We start from the raw sequence: 18,246 nt of genomic DNA, 5'->3' as shown, positions 1-18,246 counted from the left end.
ATGGATGGATGGATGGATGGATGGATGGATGGACGGACGGACGGACGGATAGAAGGAAAGAAACACCTGACAACTAAAGAGCAGCCCAAATGAGAGGAGCCCAGGGAGTCCAGGAAGCTGATGGTGGGAGCTGAGCTCGGAGATTCCCCAGCCAAAAGGAGACAGCCTTGGAGGGGCAGGGGATGAAGCCGATCACGAATCGATGATAGGCAGGGGGAAGATCCTGAAAGAGGCTGAGGATAAGCTGTCCTGGGGGTCTCACAGCTTTGGGGTGGGCAGACAGGACCTGTCCAGTAGTGAGCAAAGTTCACCCAGCACCTCCGGTGGGCCTTGGTCCCAGGGCTGGGGTGTTAAGGGGCTGTAGCCCTGGGAGAGTGCCCCCTGCCTCTGGCCCCCTCCAGGTGAGCTCTTTACCTTTGATCTGCTTGTCTTGGAACTCTGTGAGGAACCGTGTGATGCGGTCTGAGGGGATGGCAAAGGAGATGCCAGCCGTGACCTTGAGCGTGTTGATGCCAATGACCTCGCCATCCTGGGCAGGGAGGTAAGAGCAGGCATCAGTTGGGGGAACCCAGGCAAACCCCTGCCCACAAAGCACTGTGTCCACAGCTCTGTTTCTAGAGGCTGACCCCAGCTGTCAATCCCCCTACAGCCCCCAACTCCCCTGAAAAGCTCACTCTCAGGATCACACCTGTGTCAGTGACCCTACCTCTCCAAATCCTGGAGATCCCCCTTCCCCATCCCTGGAGAGTATTTCCAGGGAAGCTTGCAGCTCGGGCCTGCCCCCAGGCTCTGGCCACTCTGCCTCTAAGAAGCACGGCCACTGGGCCAAGGACACCGCCAAGCCATGTTTGGAGGGACCGAGAGAGGGAGGAACATGGTAAGGCCTGTCGGGGACAGAGACCCTGTCTATCCCTACCTTCCAGAAGTGGGGGGCTGGCAGGTGGGACCAGGGGAGCTCCTTGACCCCCCCATCCCTCTCTTTGGAGACCCTCCAAACCTGCCCTGCCCCCCATGAGGCTGGTACCACTTGGGCAGGATCTGACCTGGCCCCTGGGGACCTCACACTCAGGCACACTCCTGGAAAGGAGCCCCACCCCACAGCCTGGCTTATACCCCTAGCCCTGCCCTCCCTGTCAGGGCCTGGCCAGCTCACCAGGGATCCCTCTGGGGCCTGGGGCAGAGCTTTGGGTCAAGGCACCCTTTGTCCTCCTGGTCCCTGGAAGCTCAGGAGGCAGGAAGAGCATCCGAGTGTGAGATCCAGTAGATTGAGTTCTGTGTCCACCCTCGGCCCTCTGTGCCCATCTCTACTGCCTGGACCATGCGGAGCAGCCTCCTGGGCCTGGCTTTCTGGCCTCCAGCCTAAACCACACACACGAGCTTCCTTGAAACCAGGGCACGGCCTCAGCCCTGCCAAAAGCCTGGGAGACATCTTGGGCACATAGGGTGAAGCCCCATCTGCACACGAGGCCTGAGGCAGCAGGACATGGGCCACCAGCCCCTTTCATTGTCCCCTTGTCTGACCTCCCCCTCCCTAAGCCTCTGAGAGCCTCCTGCAATGCTCATGTTGTGCCTTCTCCCTGGGATTTCTTCTTCCTGTACCCAGTCCTCCTCAATCTCGATGGCTGTTGTATAATGCTCTCACCTCCAGGAAGCCCTCCCTGATCTCACATCAGCTGCCAGGTCTTCCTGCCCAGCGTCCCTCCAGAGCTATCTCATGTGGCTCACATGGTGCTTGGGCTTGTTCACATCTGGACACCTCCCCAGCCATGGATAGGAGCTTCAGGGGTGGGACCGTCCGATCCTTCAGGGCCTAGGAGCTCTGAACTGAGCTTCCTGGTTTATTCTGGAAAAATCTCACCTGGGATGAGGCTGAGCTTGACTTTGAGGCTCAAGACACAACTGGGAAGGGGAGAATGAGGGTGCCCCTGTCATCCTGTGTGTACATCCAGGGCAGGGAGGGCTGAGGTGAGCAGCCCCACACCTGCGTCTCCCTTGCCCCAGCTCCCCTGACAGGCACATGGCCCTGGACTGAGCTGCTGCTCATGGGTGAGTCCTCATTCCTGGTGGCCACTAGCATCCCCGAGGCGCTTGGGGCAGCCTTGGTCTTTCCTCCTTCCAGGCCTCCGGCCCAGCTGCACTCCCGACTGTTGGTGTAAATGTTCTAGGACCATATTGTGGGCCCTGTCCCACCTCAAGGCTGAGCACCCCCATGTGAGAAGAACCCCAGAAACCTGAGAGATTTTGGCTCTAGGGGACACTTACCAGGTTCACCAGTGGTCCCCCGGAGTTCCCGTACTGCAAGGGGAGGAAACAGCATTAGCTGTGCCTGACCCCGCCTGAGGCTTCCTGGAGCCCCTTCTCCAGATCTGCCTCTAACCAGTGCAGAGACACATAAGCAGGTCTCATCCTCAGCAGCATCGAAAGGCCTCAGTGCTGCCCCCATTTCACAGATAAGAAGGCCATGTGGATGGCTGCCTGATGACCGAGGTCTGACTGTCACTGTTCTCTGCACAAACCATACGCTTCGGCATCTACACCCCGGAGGCCAGGCAGCACCGCCTGGTGCATGGAGAATGGGGGTATTACTTCCCATCCTGCTGGCCTGGGGGGGCCCTCTACAAAGACTCGGATTCCAGCCAAGTGCCTGAGCTGCGGCAAAGCTGGATGGACGTGATCTGGGGCATCTGGGTGAAGTGCTTTGTGAATGCTAAACGTGCCACCAACATAATCACAATAATAATGAAAAGCAATGTTGGCCAGGGTGTGTAAGCTGGGCAAAGGTGTTTGCGGGCTGTGGCCATGCCTCTGTTTCTCTGAAAGGCTGCCCGAGCGAGGACAGCAGCCTCTGACTCCCAGCGTGCCTGGCACCCTGGGGTGGAAGTCACAGGGTTAGAGCTCCACCGAATGTAAAGAGAGAACTTTCTAGCAAGTGGATGTGTCGAGTGCCAGAATGGCTCTGGGGAGGGGGGCAAGCCGAGTCAGAGACCACCTCGAGGTTGAGGTCTTGGGCACAGATGGCAGGTGCCCCGGCCTCCTGTCCCTGGGACTCACGTTGATGATGGCATCCGTCTGGATGTAGTCCATGTCGGAGTCCCGGAGGCCCAGCTCCCTGCCCTCCCGCTGGGCAGTGCTGACGATGCCCGTTGTCACTGTGTTCTGTAGGGCGAAGGGACTGCCGATGGCCACCACAAACTCCCCAGGCCGCAGGTCGGCCGAGTGACCCAGCAACAACACAGGGAGCTTTTTCTAGGAGAGAGAAGGAGAAGACACAGAGAGGGAGGCTTAGCCGTCTACCTTCAGCGGGGACCGGAGTCAGATCCTGGCAGGGGGGTCCCAGGGAAGGCATGCACATCTGTGCAAAGCCACCAGGACTGTGAAGGCTCAGGCAGGTCACCAGTGCAGACCAAGACCAGGGCAGTCCTGTGCTGAGACCCAGGGCTGGAGTACACGGAACAGAGGCTCAGCTGTGCCAGGGACCAGAGGTTCCCCCAGGGCAGGCATGGGTGCTCATCATGTGCAGCTGAGCACAGCCTCCAAGGTCGTTGAGCCCAATGATCTGATGGTCACATGGCCTCTAAAAATCTGGTAAAAGCTGCAGACACCTGGTAAAAACTACTACACCATATGCACCACACACAAACTGATGCATTTGATGGAGAGAGATCTGCAGACAACTGGAGCCCAGCTAAGGACTCTGACATCCTTGATCCAGTTCCATCTCATCTCCCAGTAGAGACACACGGGGGAACTCAGGCCTGGAGAAGTGAAGCCACTAGCCGAGCTCCACCCCACGCCGCGCACACTGAGACACCTGCACACCCCTCTTCTGCTTTTGCGCGGGCCCAGCGGAGCCTGTCTGTCTGATTATCTGACTCTGCAACTAGCCTGGCAGCAAGGAGAACAGCCAAGCTCTGTGTTCCAGAAGCTGCGTGGTGCACACTCTGAGAAGGTAATCCCGGGTGCTTGTTAGAAGGTGCCGAAGCGCACACACACACACGATAAATTGGGGAAGGCGGTTCTGTGCTCGTACCCACATCAACTTCCTGGTTCTGGTTTTGCACCCATTACCTAAGATGTCACCGTTGAGGGAAGCTGGCGGAAAGTCTCCTGGGACCTTGTGGCACTACCCTGTAGCTTCCCGTGGATCTGCGATCGGCCAGGTCTCAAGAGCATTGCCCCAACTTAGGAGATCAGTGGGGCAGGACCCCATGCCTCTGACCCTCTGGATGGCTCCCCTCCACCAGGCCACTGGTCCTTCTCATCGTTTCAGTCCTCTTCCCTTTTATTATACACCATCATGTCAAATAAGAAAGTTTCTCTTTGCAGCTTTCAATACGAGGAGAAAGCTGTCAATAATGGGGACGACGTGGAGCCCCGCACAGGATTACGGGAGCCCTTGGTGGGCGGGCGCTGGTGTGGGAAAGACTCAGGCCGCTCCTCTATTCTCTGTGCTCAAGAAGCTTCAGTCAATGGCAGAGAGAATGCCAGGTGGCGGAACCAGGCCTGCACATTGGAAGGTGAGGGCCCGGAGAGATGACATTTTCCATTGCTGACCGGCCGAAGAGGCAGAAATAACGTCTGAAATCTCTGGGAGGCCGTGAACTGAGGAGGGTCAGCCCGTCCTCCCTGCACCCAAGGAGGGTGCACAGGTGAGGCCGTGAACTGGGGAGGGTCAGCCCATCCTCCCTGCACCCAAGGAGGGCGCACAGGTGAGGCCATGAGCTGGGGAGGGTCAGCCCATCCTCCCTGCACCCAAGGAGGGCGCACAGGTGAGGCCATGAGCTGGGGAGGGTCAGTCATCCTCCCTGCACCCAAGGAGGGTGCACAGGTGAGGCCGTGAGCTGGGGAGGGTCAGCCATCCTCCCTGCACCCAAGGAGGGGGCACAGGTGAGGGTCAGGAGCCTTTCCCATGGCTCGATTTAATGCCTAGGGGCTAGGAGGGCGTTTCCCACCTCAGCTCATGGCCATGGGTGCTGACCAGGGCCTGCAGGACATGAATCACACTAGCTCTGCTGGCACCCATTTGCCACAGGTGGCTGGTGGGGCGTCCTGCTCAGGCCCACCTGGATACCACCCCACCAGTCCTGCCAGCATTCTGCCACAGCCGCCGGAAGGGGAGACAGACCTGCCCCTAGTCTCGCTCTCCTCTTCCCACAGGGGTCCTCGAGCGGGGGTTGCAAACTGGCCCAAGGCCCAAACGCTGTCCATTGCCTGTTTTGTGAATCAAGCTTCACTGGAACGCAGCCACACCCACCTGTGCAGCCTAAGGCTGCATTTTTGCCACAGCAGAGATGCGTGGTTGTGACAGAGACCACAGGGCTTGCAAAGATAAAATATTTACCATTTGGCTTCATGGAAAATTTGTTGGCTGGGCACCATGGCTCACACCTGTAATCCCAACACTTTGGGAGGCCGAGGCAGGAGGATTGCTTGAGCCCACGAGTTCTAGACCAGCCTGGGCAATACAGCGAGACCCTATCTCTACCAAAAATTTAAAAATTAGCCAGGTATGGTGGTGCATGCCTGTAGTCCTAGCTATATGGAAGGCCAAGGTGGGAAGATCCCTTAAGCCCAGGAGTTTGACGCTGCAGTGAGCTGTGATTGTGCCACTGCACTCCAGCCTGGGCAACAGAGCGAGACCCTGAAAAAAAAAAAAAGAGAGAGAGAGGGGGAGGAAGGGAGGAAGGAAGGAAGGAAGGAAGGAAGGAAGGAAGGACGGACGGAAGGAAGGAAGGAAAATTTGGGGGTGGGGTGCAGTGGCTCATTCCTGTAATCCTAGCACTTTGGGAGGCCAAGGCAGGGGATCACCTGAGGTCAGGAGTTCAAGACCAGCCTGGCCAACATGGTGAAACCCATCTCTACTAAAAATACAAAAATTAGCTGAGGGTGGTGGCATGCACCTATAGTCACAGCTACTTGGGAGACTGAGACAGGGGAATTACTTGAACCTGGGAGGTGGAGGTTGCAGTGAGCCGAGATCCTGCTACTGCACTCCAGCCTGGGTGACAGAGCAAGAACCCGTCTCAAAAAAAAAAAAAAAAGGCTAGGCACGGTGGTTCACGCCTGTAATCCCGGTACTTTGGGAGGCCAAGGCAGGTGGATCACCTGTGGTTGGGAGTTCAAGACCAGCCTGACCAACATGGAGAAACCCCGTCTCTACTAAAAATACAAAAAAATTGGCCAGTGTGGTGGCACATGCCTGTGATCCTAGCTACTCGGGGGGCTGAGGCAGGAGAATTGCTTGAACCCGGGAGGCGGAGGTTGTGGTGAGCCGAGATGACGCCATTGCACTCCAGCCTGGGCAACAAGGGCAAAACCCCATTTCAAAAAAAAGAAAAGAAAATTTGCCAACTCCTGTCCGTGAGCACACCCCTCAGTGGGTTTCCTTAACTTTAAAATGGAGGTGATGCCCCCAGACTCAATCGCGACCGTGAAAAGTCTGAAAAGCAGGGAAGGGTCCCCATTAGGGGAACTCCTTGGAACCATTAAATCTCCTCTCCCTTGATGGGGCAAGAGGAAACCCCCTTGCAAAAGATTTCATCACAAATGCTGTAAACGTTCATTCAGAAAGAGAGGAAGCCAAATTCAAACCAGCCAAGGTGAACTTCCCAGTCCAAGGGAAGCTCCGGGTCCAACGCTGGTGTGAGACATGGGACTCAGTGACCTCATGGCATGGGGAGCTGCAAGTAACTCAACTGTGGTCCCCAGGGTCACATAAGCATGGCATTGGGCAAGACAAGAACAAGCTGGAGGGAGGCCGGGGTCCTAGCTGAGCGGGCCAGCCCTGCTCCAGTGCGCTGTGATCTTGGACGAGTTACCTAACTTCCAAGCCTCAGTTGCCCCGTCTGAAATCCCAAGATAATGAGGTCCCTGATATGGTTTGGCTCTGTGTCGCCACCCAAATCTCATGTCAAATTGTAATCCCCATGTGTTGGGGGACGGGCCTGGTGGGAGGTGATGGGATCATGGGGGCAGACTTCCCCCATGCTGTTCTCATGGTGGTGAGTTCTCACGAGATCTGATGGTTTTAAAATGTGTGGCATGTCCCACTTCACTCTCTCTCTCTCCGGCTCTGCCATGAGAAGATGTCCCTGCTTCCCCTTTGCCTTCCGTCATGATTGTATGTCTCCTGAGGCCTCCTGGTCATGCTTCCTGTACAGCCTACAGAACTCTGAGTCAACGAACCCTCTTTTCTTCATAAATGACCCAGTCTCAGGTAGTTCTTTATAGCAGTGTGAAAACAGACTCATACAGGCCCTTTCCTCCCAGGCCTGTGGTGAGAATTAGAGGAGTGCAGTCAGCGCCTGGCTGAGAGCAGGCCTTCCAGAAACAGCCGGTGGAGGAAGAAGAGGATTCTGGGGGCCTCAGTGCAGGCCTCTTCTGGGTCAGCTGGTGGGAGGTACAGACGTGAAGGTGGAGGGATGGGGTCCCTGTCCCAAGTGTTCCCCACGGCAGCCCCCTGGCCTCCACGCCCAAACCCAGATGCCATCCCATGGGGCAGGTGCATCCCCAGTAGTGGGCCCAGGTAAGACAGTGAAGAGCCTCCGTGGGGTGTGATATGGGACCACAGCCCACCCACTGTGGGCCACATGCTTCCTGGCTCTGCCCTGCACCTAGCGGCTCAGGGAGCGCAGGACAAGGAGTCCAAAGACCTGGGTTCTAGGTCTTTTCCAAGCCGTGACCCTGGGCCAGCTGCCAGTCCTCCCTGGGCCCAGTTTCCTCCCCCTGGCTGATGGAAGGTGGGGCTAGCTTGCCTCTGGGTTCCGGCGTCTGGGAAGAGGCCACCATGCCCAGCCCCAGGTGCTTCCGCCCCTCCACCCACGCCCACCCACCTTGGGATGGATCTTGATGGTGGCAATGTCCGACTTCTTGTCGATGTCTTTGATGGTGGCCTCATAGGAGTCCCCATTCTGTAGCTGCACCTTGAGCTGCTGCCTGCCCGGGGCAGCACTGTTGCTGGACACCACGTGGGCATTGGTGATGATCAGGCCGGCCTCTGACATGATGAAGCCAGAACCGCTGGACAGGGGCACGTTGCGGCCAAACAGCGGGTGTCTGCAGCCAGGGAGACACAGGCGGGCATTTAGGGTGGGGCTAGGACGCGGGGGAGTCAGGCGCAGTGGTGGGGCTGGTCAGCGAGGAGCAGAGCCAGTGTGTGGCTGACAGAACACAGGTCTGGAGTCCCTCAAGCTCCCATTTGAATCCTGGCCCTGTGACCTGGCCAAGTCACCGGCGCCTGCACCCATTCACAGCCATAAAGAGGTGATGATGATCACCTCTCGCTGCAATTTGCTGAGATGAGACAGGCTGCCTGCGACATGTCAGATGACTCCCAGCTTGCACTCGCCATCCTGACTACGGAGCACGGAGCCAGACAGACCAGGATGCTAATCCCAAGTCCAGGACCCACTTATTATCTGCCTGACCGTGGGCAGGTCAGTGAAGCTCTCTGAGCCTTGGTCTCCCCATTTGGGAAATGGGACAACAACACCTCCTCCGCCGAGTGGTGATGCCTGGGCTCTAAAACGCCTCTCAACAAACAGGACAATAATTGGCCCTAGGGGAAAAGCCCCATTGCACACACAGCATCCTGCAGGGCTGCAGCAGGTACCCAGGAAGGGAGGCTCCCCAGAGGCTGGGGCAGATTCCTGATCATCCCGACAGGGTGAGTGCTGGGAGGGCTGAGAAGGCTTATTCCCACCTCCCTCTACCCTCACCCCCAGGCTAGCTGCCTAAAGCCCCAAATGTGGCAGTGCTGGCAGCAGGCAGATGCAGGACCCGAGCCCTGGACACCCCGAGGGCAGGGGTGCAGAGGCACAGATGAGGCCAGCCTGGGCCCTGCCCTCTGTGAACGGTGTGGAGCTGGCCTGGGTTTGCATTGGTGTCTGCCGATGGGCAACAATCCCCAGTTCTCACCAGAGCTCTCTGAGTAGAAACCACAGCCCCACATCCAGCAGGGGAGGAGGCTGAATGCCAGACACAGCCTGGGACCTTCTCCAGGGTGGGAACCTTCGGGACCCCAGCGTGGGGCCCAGCCCAGAGCAGGTACTCACTCCCTGAGGCTGCTTAGTAGAGATGAGCAAGGAAAATGTGCGAGGGACAAAGTATGGAGGGATGGAAACGTCTGGCACGTGCAGGCAGGTGAGAGCAAGAGACAAAGCATGGAGGGATGGGAGCGTCTGGCACGTGCAGGGAGGTGACAGTCTCTGCAAAGTACAGGAGCTTCGCTGTGACCCACAGGACCAGAGATGGCAGCGAATGCCACCCTGTGCTCCCTCTGAGGCAGGCAGGCCATTGAATGCTCATGGGCACCCTGCAAGGGGGGTGCTGTGGTGAGCTGTATCCCTGCCAAGAGATACGGCCAAGTCCTAACCCCATGTGACTGTGAATGTGACTTTATTTGGAAACAGGGTCTTTGCAGGTGTCCTGAAGTTACGGTGACATCAGAGTGTGTCTGTGTTGTCTTTAAGGGAGGGAAGTCCAGTCTCACAGAGGGGAAGGCCATGAGATGATGGAGACAGAGCAGAGAGAGGGGTCTAAGGGCCGAGGCGTACCAAGGACTGCGGAAAACACTAGAGCCAGTAGAGGGGCCTGGGACACTCCCCCAACATCCCCCAGAAGAAAGCAGCCCTGCTTGATTAGGACCTTGACACCTTGATTAGGACTTCCAGCCTCCAGAACCATGGGAGCAAACATCTCTGTCATTTTAAGCCATGCAGTCTGTGGTACTTTGTTATGGCAGCCACAAGAAACTACTGTCGTCCCTAACTCTCAGGTCTTTATGGTGGGAAAACTGAGTCCCGAGACGCTGAACTACTTGCCTAGGTCAGGCGGGCAGGCAAAGGGCAAAGCAGGGGTCTGCCCCAGGCAGCCTGGGCATCTGGCCACTTGGCCACCCCACACGGTGACCCCAGCATCTGTCCACTCACATCCGCAGCCAGCTTCTGCCACACCCACTCCGTGTGTGCCCCAGAGTAGGAACTGCACCTGTTTTGCCTGCGGAAGCCCCAGGGTGCCTCACAGGGCCAGGCACCTGCGGGGTCTGCAGAAAATGCCCGCGGCTGCCCACTGGCCTCCATGCCCACACTCAGACCTCAGGTCAGGGGTCACAGCCGGGAGGCCTGTGCTGGAAAAGCATCTGTCTCATCTTTGCTGGGTCTCACCCACCCACTCAGAGCATCAGTCACTGGAGGCTCTGAGGGCAGAAACGGCCTCCCAGCCGGGCTGGAGTCAGTAATTAGTTGGTTCAGAGCCTGGTGGCTGGGGCCTTCCAGAAAGATGCTGCCCCCATCCCTACCTCCTGGAAGGCCAGCAACGTGCCACTTAGTGCATCCAGTTATAATTTCCTCAATGACATGTCTCAGGGCCCGGGGCTCGAGGGAAGGGCAGTGAGGGGTCAGTGTGCTGCCAAGGGGGCAGTGAGAGGTCCATCAGCACGGGGCACCGGACAGGGTGGCAACCAGGGCTGTGGGTCCTGCATGGGTGGTGCCTCCAGGGCTGTTTTGAGAAACATGGGCTACACAGCCCACAGCCCAGGGAGCTCCCAGCAGGTGTGGAGGATGTGATGCTGAGGTGCTATATGCCCGTCACGCGCTCTCACACCCCTGTTCAAGGAGCACGACCTCTGCTGGAGAGCCCGGGATGGGGAGGGCAGAGGGGCCGTGACGCCTAGTGACAGGGGCTTGGACCAGACAAGCGCCGAGCCAGCCAGCAGGGAGGCGGTGCTGGAGCAGGAATCACTCCTGGGATCTCCCCATGAGCCACCAGATGCTCAGTCCCCAGGGCCGGGCCTAGGGCAGTGGAGCCTCGTCACAGGGAGGCTGGAGGCCTCAGGGAAAGTACCGTGAAAACAAGCAAGTCCCTGGAGCCCTGGCCTGCGGCCTCTGGTGACTGCTCATTGCCGGCTCCGTGTCCGCCTGGACCCGCCGTCTGATCCCTATCAGGGTGGAATGAGGCTTGGTTCCGGGGCCTCCTCATCAGGCTGTTTGCCGGCTCTGTGCACACCCAGGGACCAAAGGGCCAGCAAAGGTGGATGGGAGAAACACTCTAAACTTCAGAAGAGTCATTCAGTCTGCTTCTGCGGGATATAAGTCAATCTGGGATGAGCCCTCAGGATTCGGTGTGAGCGATCAGACATTGGGCAGCTTGCACAGCGGGAGGTTCTGAAGGCAGGGCTCCCCCAAACCAGCTCAGAGGGTCTCTGTGATGGGGGAAGTAGGAGAGGCTGGGGATGGTGGCAGGGACCGGGGCAGGCCCTGTGGGAAGAAGGGGAGGAGGCTTTGCCTGTGCATCTGCAAGGAGAGGCCTTGCTCGGGGGTGAAGCCACACGGTACACACCACTTCCTCTACGGGGCTGGGACATCCCGCTTCCCTATTGACCGACTCCACTCATTCATTCATTCTTTTACTCATCCATTGGACACTCACTCATTCCCTCCCTCACTCATTCATTCTGCCACTTCCTTCACTAACTCATTCCTCCCCTCACTCATCCATGCACTGATTCGTGCGTTCACTCACCCATCCCTCATTCCTCCCCGCTCCGGCCACACGGGCCTCGGTGCTTGCGAGCTGCCCCCACTGCCCTGCATCCACTGGCCCAGCTCCCGGGGTGCCTACTTCAGGCTTAGCTTGTGAGGCCTCCCGAGCCCCCGGTTCCCACTGCCCCGAGCCCTGCTCTCTGCCTGCCATGCCTCTGCTCCTTGCACACACACCTGCTGTCTCCTGGCATCTCCTCCGCTGGGTTCTGTCTGTGTCTGCTTTACTGCACGGCCCCTCAGGACGACCAACACATTGCATGTATCCAATAGCATGGGCAGCAGCATGAAGGGACAAAGACCCACAGCTGTGCACCTTCTTGGTGCCTACAGCTCCAGCAGGTGCGGAGTCACTTCAGCGGGGATGTCCTTCCCCAGGGGCACACAGGCAGCCAGCAGATGTGACTGAGGTCAGCCTGACCCCAGGCCACTCCAGTTTCTGTGGCCCAGGCTGCAGAATCAAGCCTGGTTTGGGCCCCAGCAGCTGGCGGGTGTACCAGGGGACACCAGGAGGCAGAGAGGGGCGAGGGGTATTCACCCACCTCAGGAAGAGCTCTATGTGGACCACGGCTGGTGCGATCTTCTCCACCACGTCAGCAATGAAGTTGAACTTGTAGCGCGGGCTGCTCAGCTGGTGGAGACCTGCGCTGGCGGGAAGGGCCAGGTGCATCAGTGAGATCACGATGCTGCCAGCTCCCAGAGGCCTATGCCCAGTGGGCAGAAGGAGGAGGCTCTTCCTGAGACCCCTGTCCCAGTTCAGAGCCAGCCTCAGCCCACACTGAGCCCGTTGGGGACCCCCTACCACACAGCAGTGCAGTGACACCAGGCATTTGGGAAGGGGCTCGCTCACCCCGAGAATGGTTAAAAAGGCTTCCACGTGCTGGGCTTCCTCACCCCCCTCACTGGACCCTGCTAGGCTGGGCAGGAGGCTCAGAGAGAGGTTAGGATATTGCCGTGAGCCACACGGGAGTGAGGCCAGGGCTGGATCTCGGGTTAGTCCCCCTGGGCCTTGTCTGTTCCCTCATGCTACAGCAATACCCTTACAGGAGAGAACTGGCCCTCTCCTCATGGGCTCCAGCTGGTCCCTCCGAGCCCTGGGGCTACAGCAGTGTCCAGGCGGGGGTGTAGTGGAAGACCCCCAGGTGACCCTTCTGAGCTACCCAGGCCCGGACACAGTGTGGCCCCTCTGGGCCAAAAGAGCTGCCAATTTCTGAGTCCACAGGGCCCTACATCTGTGTCTAACTTGGCCACACCCCAGCCCGACTTGCTAGATGGTTCACGAACTTCCCTGGACCCTTCCCGGGCTCAGATTCCTGCTGCCGTCAGCAGTAGGGGCTGTGGCTGCCAGGACCACAGGCCTGAGGCATGCAGTGGCACGGGGCCCACAGCCCTCGGGGTTCCCTGCACGGGCCTGTGCCGGGCTCTCTCCAGTTCCCACCATCTGGAACACATGCTGCTCAGCCTCGCTCGTGGCTCCCGAGCCCCGCAATGAGCAACTGGGCTGGGGGCTGCACACACCAGGGGTTCGGCTGGGCCTGGCTGCTTTCTAGCTGTGTGGCCTCAGACAGATTACTTACGTTCTCTGGGCCTCAACTCCTCATCTGAAAAATGGGACTGAATATGCCCTCCTACCACATCTGTGGGAACTGAGTGTGGAGGACTGCAAACTTCGAGTCCCTGCCCGGGGGGCTACCCACCCACCCAGCCACCTTGGCAATGGGGAGCAAAGAGGGCTCAGTCCATAACGTCCAGCTTTCCAGCTTTGCAGCCCACATTTCTCTTGATCTCTGGGAAGTGGCCGGGCATGGGGACCGAGGGAAAATCTGGTTTTCTGGATCGTCCAAAGGCACGAAGGTACCATGGTGGATGCCACTGTGGGGGCAGGGCCCGGGCCGCGGTCCGTGCTCTAGGAATCATCACAGGGCAAACACAATCCCCAGGCACATCCCAATTCATTCACCCAACTCTCCAGGGGCAGCCAGGGGAAGGAAACTTTTCCTCTATTTTAAAGGTGGGGACACTGAGGCTCTGTAAGAAGAACCCCCCTGCCCAAGGACTCACGGCTGGGAGGGGAGAACCAGGATCTGAACGCAGGCCGCAGGCCTCCTTTCCCTGGGTGCCCCCACCTCTGCCCTGCAGCTCCCCAAGGCCCTGAAGAGCCCTTTAGCCTGAGCTGGGACCTAGGGGGTTGGCTCGAGCTCTGGTGTTGGGTCTCCCAGACTTCCGATGTCTGCCTCTCAACCGGCCCGCAGGCACCAACCACACCAGCCCTCGTCCACTTCAGTCAGCCTGAATCAAAGGCCACCTGTCTGGGGTGGCTAGAGCCTGGCTGGGAGACGCCGGCCACCGCGAGGCTCCTCATAGATCAAACCACTGCGGCAGAGCGGGGTCTCAGGTTCAGAGGTCACATTAACAAACACCCCAGGGGCAGGGCCTGCTGTGGGCCCAGGGCTCTCTCTGCCCACGTTTGCTTCCATGAGGGATGCGCTGCCCTGCTCGACACCTACAAAGCAGGCGGCTCCCTTGGTGAGGTGAAGCTGCCGTGCGGCCCGAGTGGGCAGCCCAGGCCTGTCTGCTTCTCCTCCCTGCCCCTGGGAACTTGAGTTCATTTTCTAGCACCCAAGTAGAGAGGAAGGACACCAGCCACAAAGCCTGCTTCCCTGGTGAGGTTTGGAGCTGGTTCAGAGCTCTCACAAGATGCGCTCAGACCCACAATTTCCACGACCCAGAGGGATCCCAGGGCAACCCCCAGGCCCAGGCCCTCCTCCCTCCAGGAGGGAGGACTCAGCCGGTCTGCTGCTCCCCTGTGTGCCCTGGGGCCTGAGGCTGGCGCCCCATGTGCCTCGCCTGAGGAGAAGCGCCAGGGCACGGGCACAGCCCCCAGGTGGGACCATATTACCTCTCCTACCGTGTGGCCTTTGTCGGGCCACCAACTCCAGTTTCTGCTCATCATCCACCTCTCTACACCTCCCCCTGCACGACCTCTCTCTACTCTCCCTACCAAGATGCTCTGGTTGGTCCTGGGCCCGGCCCTAATCCTGCCTCCTCCAGGCAGCCCCGCAGCAGCCCCAGTTGTACCGAATCTGCCGCTGCTCACAGCCTTATTCAAGCCACTCGTGCAGGGTGCCTCCTGTGTGCCCACCTGTGACAGCTGCTGGAGACACAGTGGTTCAGCTGGGGGCAAGGGTCAAGTCAGTGACCGACCAGAGACAGCACAGCATCACCAGGGATGAGGCAGAGAGGAGCCCGGCGTGGGGTGGGTGAGTGCAGAGGTGCCCTGACCCAGGCCTGGAAGAGCCCACGGGCAGGGGCACAGCACATGGAAAGCCACAGGCTGAGCCCGCATTGCCTGTGCAGGCAGCCACGGCACACAGGGACCTGGGCCCAGTGTGAACACAGCAGAAGGAGGAATGGCAGCACCTCTCCTCCCACAGGTGATTAGAAAAGGCTGCCTTCCTGTGTGTCTCCATCCTGGACTCAGACACTCCAACACCCAGGGCCGGAAAGCTCTCTGGACCCCAACGTGTCCACCCCCTGCTTGCCAAAGCCCAGCCCCTGGACCCCCTCAAGCGCCTGGGCTGCTGGGCCCCTGAGCTCTGACGCGGCAGCCTGAAGATCTGCACAGCACTGCGGCCTCCACCGGAAGGACTTTCTCCCCAGTGTGGTCTCCCAGAGGTCACTTAAAATAGGTGACACTCGATTTTATAGGGGATGATTTGTTTTAAAACCCTCTGTGAAATATTCGTTAAGTAAAAGCCTTGCAGGAAACATCAAAATTCTACTACATGGTGGTTATTTGTGGTTGGGGTAAAGTTACAGTGACTTTTTTTCATTTTTCAAAGAGAAAATAAAACAGGGAGGGAGAGCAAGGCCTGAGACAGAAGGGCCGTGGGGCTGGGCTGGGAGGTGGCCTGTTTCCCACAGAGTCTCCAAAGAGAAGCCCGCACGTGCCCACCCCACACCCCAGGCTCCTTTGGGACAGAGACCATCTGGTTCGCTTCCACACCCCAGTGGTAACCAGCACAGGGTGAGACAGCCGCTGAGACATTTCAGAGGGAAGGGATGGAGGGGGAGGAGGGGCGGAGAGAGGAGGGGAGGAAGATAGAGAGAAGGGAGAGAAGTTCAAGGGGGCCCTTCTTGATGCTCTCTGAGCCAGCACACAGTAGGTCTGCAAAGAGCACCCTGAAGAAAGAATGTGGGTCAGCTGATTAACCAAGTCTCCAAGCAGCCTCACAAAAGCAGCAGCACTCGCCCATTTTATGGCCCAGGAGACTGAGGCTTAGAGGCAAAGATCAATCACTGAGGGAGGGCAGGCCTGGCGCTGGCCCAGGTCTGCTGGATTTCAGGGTCTAGGCAACCCCAGAGCCTGGGGCACCCCTGCAGGGCCCCACCAGGTCCTGTCCCTTTAAGCGGACCTCGGTGGGTGGTGGGGTGGGGGCAGGGGCCCCCGTGCCCCAGCTCCTCCTCCCAACACGCAGATGAATCAGCCATGAATCAGGGGGAAGGGAGGACGCGGTTCCCACTGCCTCTTTCCACAGGAAAACCGTGGGCCCCACGGCTGGGAAGCAGACTCTGTTTATTTGGGGGTTTTTGACAACCTCCACCCCCACCCCATCCTCGAGCCAAAGTTCTGAAGTCAACAGTCAGTCTCAACCAGATTCAGCCGTTAGCCTTTTTTTTTTTTTTTTCCTCAATAAACTGGAATCTAAAGCCCTGGAAGTTTCAGTCAGGGAGACCCTCACACAGAGCAAAGCAATCAAGGCCCGAGGCTAGGTGTCCGGTGTCACATCCCAGGAGAGGAAGGGGCGCAACAGGGCAGGGGAGACAAGTAGGGTGCCAGGGCTCCAGCTCCAACAGCCCTGCCTGATGGAACTCCCAGGAGTCCTGGGGGACTGTGGCCAACCCTGAGAGAGGACCACGTGCTGGCTCTGGACAGTCATAACTGCCATGGAACAGATGGCGACACTGAGGCCCAGATACTCTGTGGGGATACCTTGTGTTTGTACACTGCGTAACTCCAGGCCCTTACTGACAAATATCAGAGTGGCCAGCTTCCCTGCAGTTGTGCAGTGCACAACCTGCCCAACTGTATGCATCAGTCCCTCTAGCACATAATGTGCAGAGCTGGGACTGACACCCAGTTCTGTTCCTCCATCTCTAAGGTCCCTGCCCCTTCTTTTAGTGCCCTCTGCAATTAGCAGACCCCTCTGCCACCCAGTGGTCAGCTGTGAGCTGGGGATGGAGGAGCCATGAGTGGATAGCCATGGGTCCCAGGCTGTGCCCATCTGTCCATAACGGTGACCATGGTCTACAGACCAGATGGCAACCTCTAAGCAGGGCATTCAAGGCCTGGGGTGTCCTGGTCCCATTGACATCTGCAGCCTCACGTGCTGCCACTCTCCCCTGTGGACCTCGGCTCTGCTTCCTGCGCGTGCAGGCTCCTAAGTGTCACTGTGCCTTTGCACATGTGGTTCCCTCCTCTGGGAATATGCCCTTCCTGTCATTCCTCAGGGCCCAGGCCAGCAGCGCCTCCTCTGGGGAGCCTACCCTGACTTTGCAAGCGTGGTGATCCACCTCTCCTTCTGGGCCCAACAGCACCTCGTACCCTTCCCAAAGCTAGTCCCTTGGGAGTGTACCTGTGGCCTGCACCCCTGCGTCTGGGCTGGACCTGGCCCGCTGCAGTGGGCAGGAAGCAAATGAGGGAGCGAATGAATGCTCTTCAGAGACAGAGGAGCCATTCCAGGGGCCCCCTCAACAGCCCCCAGCCCCGCCCACCACTAAAGGGGCTGCCTCCTGGGTCTAACTAGTTCCCAGGGCAGCTTCCTTTGCTTTTCCTCCTCTGGAAAACTTGCCTGTCCCCTAGTGAACTTTGCCCCACCGAGCCATGTCCCCAAGTGAACCGTGCCCCCACAAGCCTCAGGTCCAGCTGTGGCTCCCCGTGGGGTGGATGCTGCCATCTGCCACCCTCAAGCCCAGAGACCTGTTCATGTGGAACGCAGGCGGGATGAGGGCTGCAGCCCAGGCCCAGAGGAACCCGCTGCCTCCCCCTCCACGGGCCACACCTCGCAGGCGGGACCCGATTTGGGCATGGGACGTCAGGCTGGGCTCCGAAGTTTGTGATCTCATTGAATTCTTGCAGCAATTCTGCAAGACAGGAACTGAGTCCATTTTACAGGCAAGGAAACAAGGCTTAGAGAGGCCACGGGACCTGCCCAAGGTGCACAGCCAGGCCCCGCAAGCCCTGACCTGGGCGCTTCCCCTGCTCCGTGCTGGCCCTTGGCAAATGTGACAACCTGTCCAGCCCCAGAAAAGCTCAACCTAGACCCGAGCTCAATGTGGGGCCAGCCTGGCTCCTCTGGCTGTGAAACTCCACACCCAGCTGGGCCACAGCCAGCCCCTGGGAGGAGGAGGAGGTGCTGCCGCCAGCCTGCCTGTGATTTACCAAGAAGGCTGGTCCTTGTGCACAGTGCCATGGGTCAGGCACTTCCATGCCACTGAAGGCAAGGAAGACAGCCCCTGGCCCTCCTCTTACAGGAAGCCCTCCCTGCCTTGACCGGGGCCAATGAAACTCCCTCCGGCAGGGCCAGCACATGGCAGCACCTCCACAGACACCGCCTTCCAGCTCCTCCCCTTCCTCGACCCCTCTCCCTCACTCTCACTAACTCCACTTCTGTAAGACGCGTCCACCTGCCATCCTTTCTTCACATCA

General features: G+C 58.8%; 1 protein-coding gene across 3 annotated transcripts in view, besides 1 other annotated feature; it reads right to left on the bottom strand.

Annotated features, from left to right (window-relative positions):
• The window catches only part of HTRA3 (HtrA serine peptidase 3), a 37,345-nt gene that overhangs the window by 12,483 nt on the left and 6,616 nt on the right, over positions 1–18,246 (bottom strand). For all 3 annotated transcript variants that reach the window (NM_053044.5, NM_001297559.3, XM_011513596.4), the window contains exons 2-6: positions 12,080–12,179; positions 7,833–8,055; positions 3,052–3,246; positions 2,263–2,295; positions 415–529 (exon numbers count right to left, since the gene is read on the bottom strand). In NM_053044.5, the coding sequence (NP_444272.1) occupies positions 415–529; positions 2,263–2,295; positions 3,052–3,246; positions 7,833–8,055; positions 12,080–12,179 (666 nt within the window). The remainder of the gene's footprint in view (positions 1–414; positions 530–2,262; positions 2,296–3,051; positions 3,247–7,832; positions 8,056–12,079; positions 12,180–18,246) is intronic.
• Positions 2,459–2,958: an enhancer, noted in NCBI's record as "H3K4me1 hESC enhancer chr4:8293385-8293884 (GRCh37/hg19 assembly coordinates)". NCBI's record gives its function as "activates a minimal SCP1, AML or CMV promoter by ChIP-STARR-seq in primed H9 embryonic stem cells {active_cell/tissue: H9 hESC(primed)}" and the evidence as "EXISTENCE:reporter gene assay evidence [ECO:0000049][PMID:30033119]".

The sequence above is a fragment of the Homo sapiens genome, chromosome 4, assembly GCF_000001405.40.
Source record: "Homo sapiens chromosome 4, GRCh38.p14 Primary Assembly".
Taxonomy (NCBI): Eukaryota; Metazoa; Chordata; class Mammalia; order Primates; family Hominidae; genus Homo; species Homo sapiens.
Note: the sequence above shows the minus strand (reverse complement) of the source record. Positions and strands in the feature narration are given on the sequence as shown.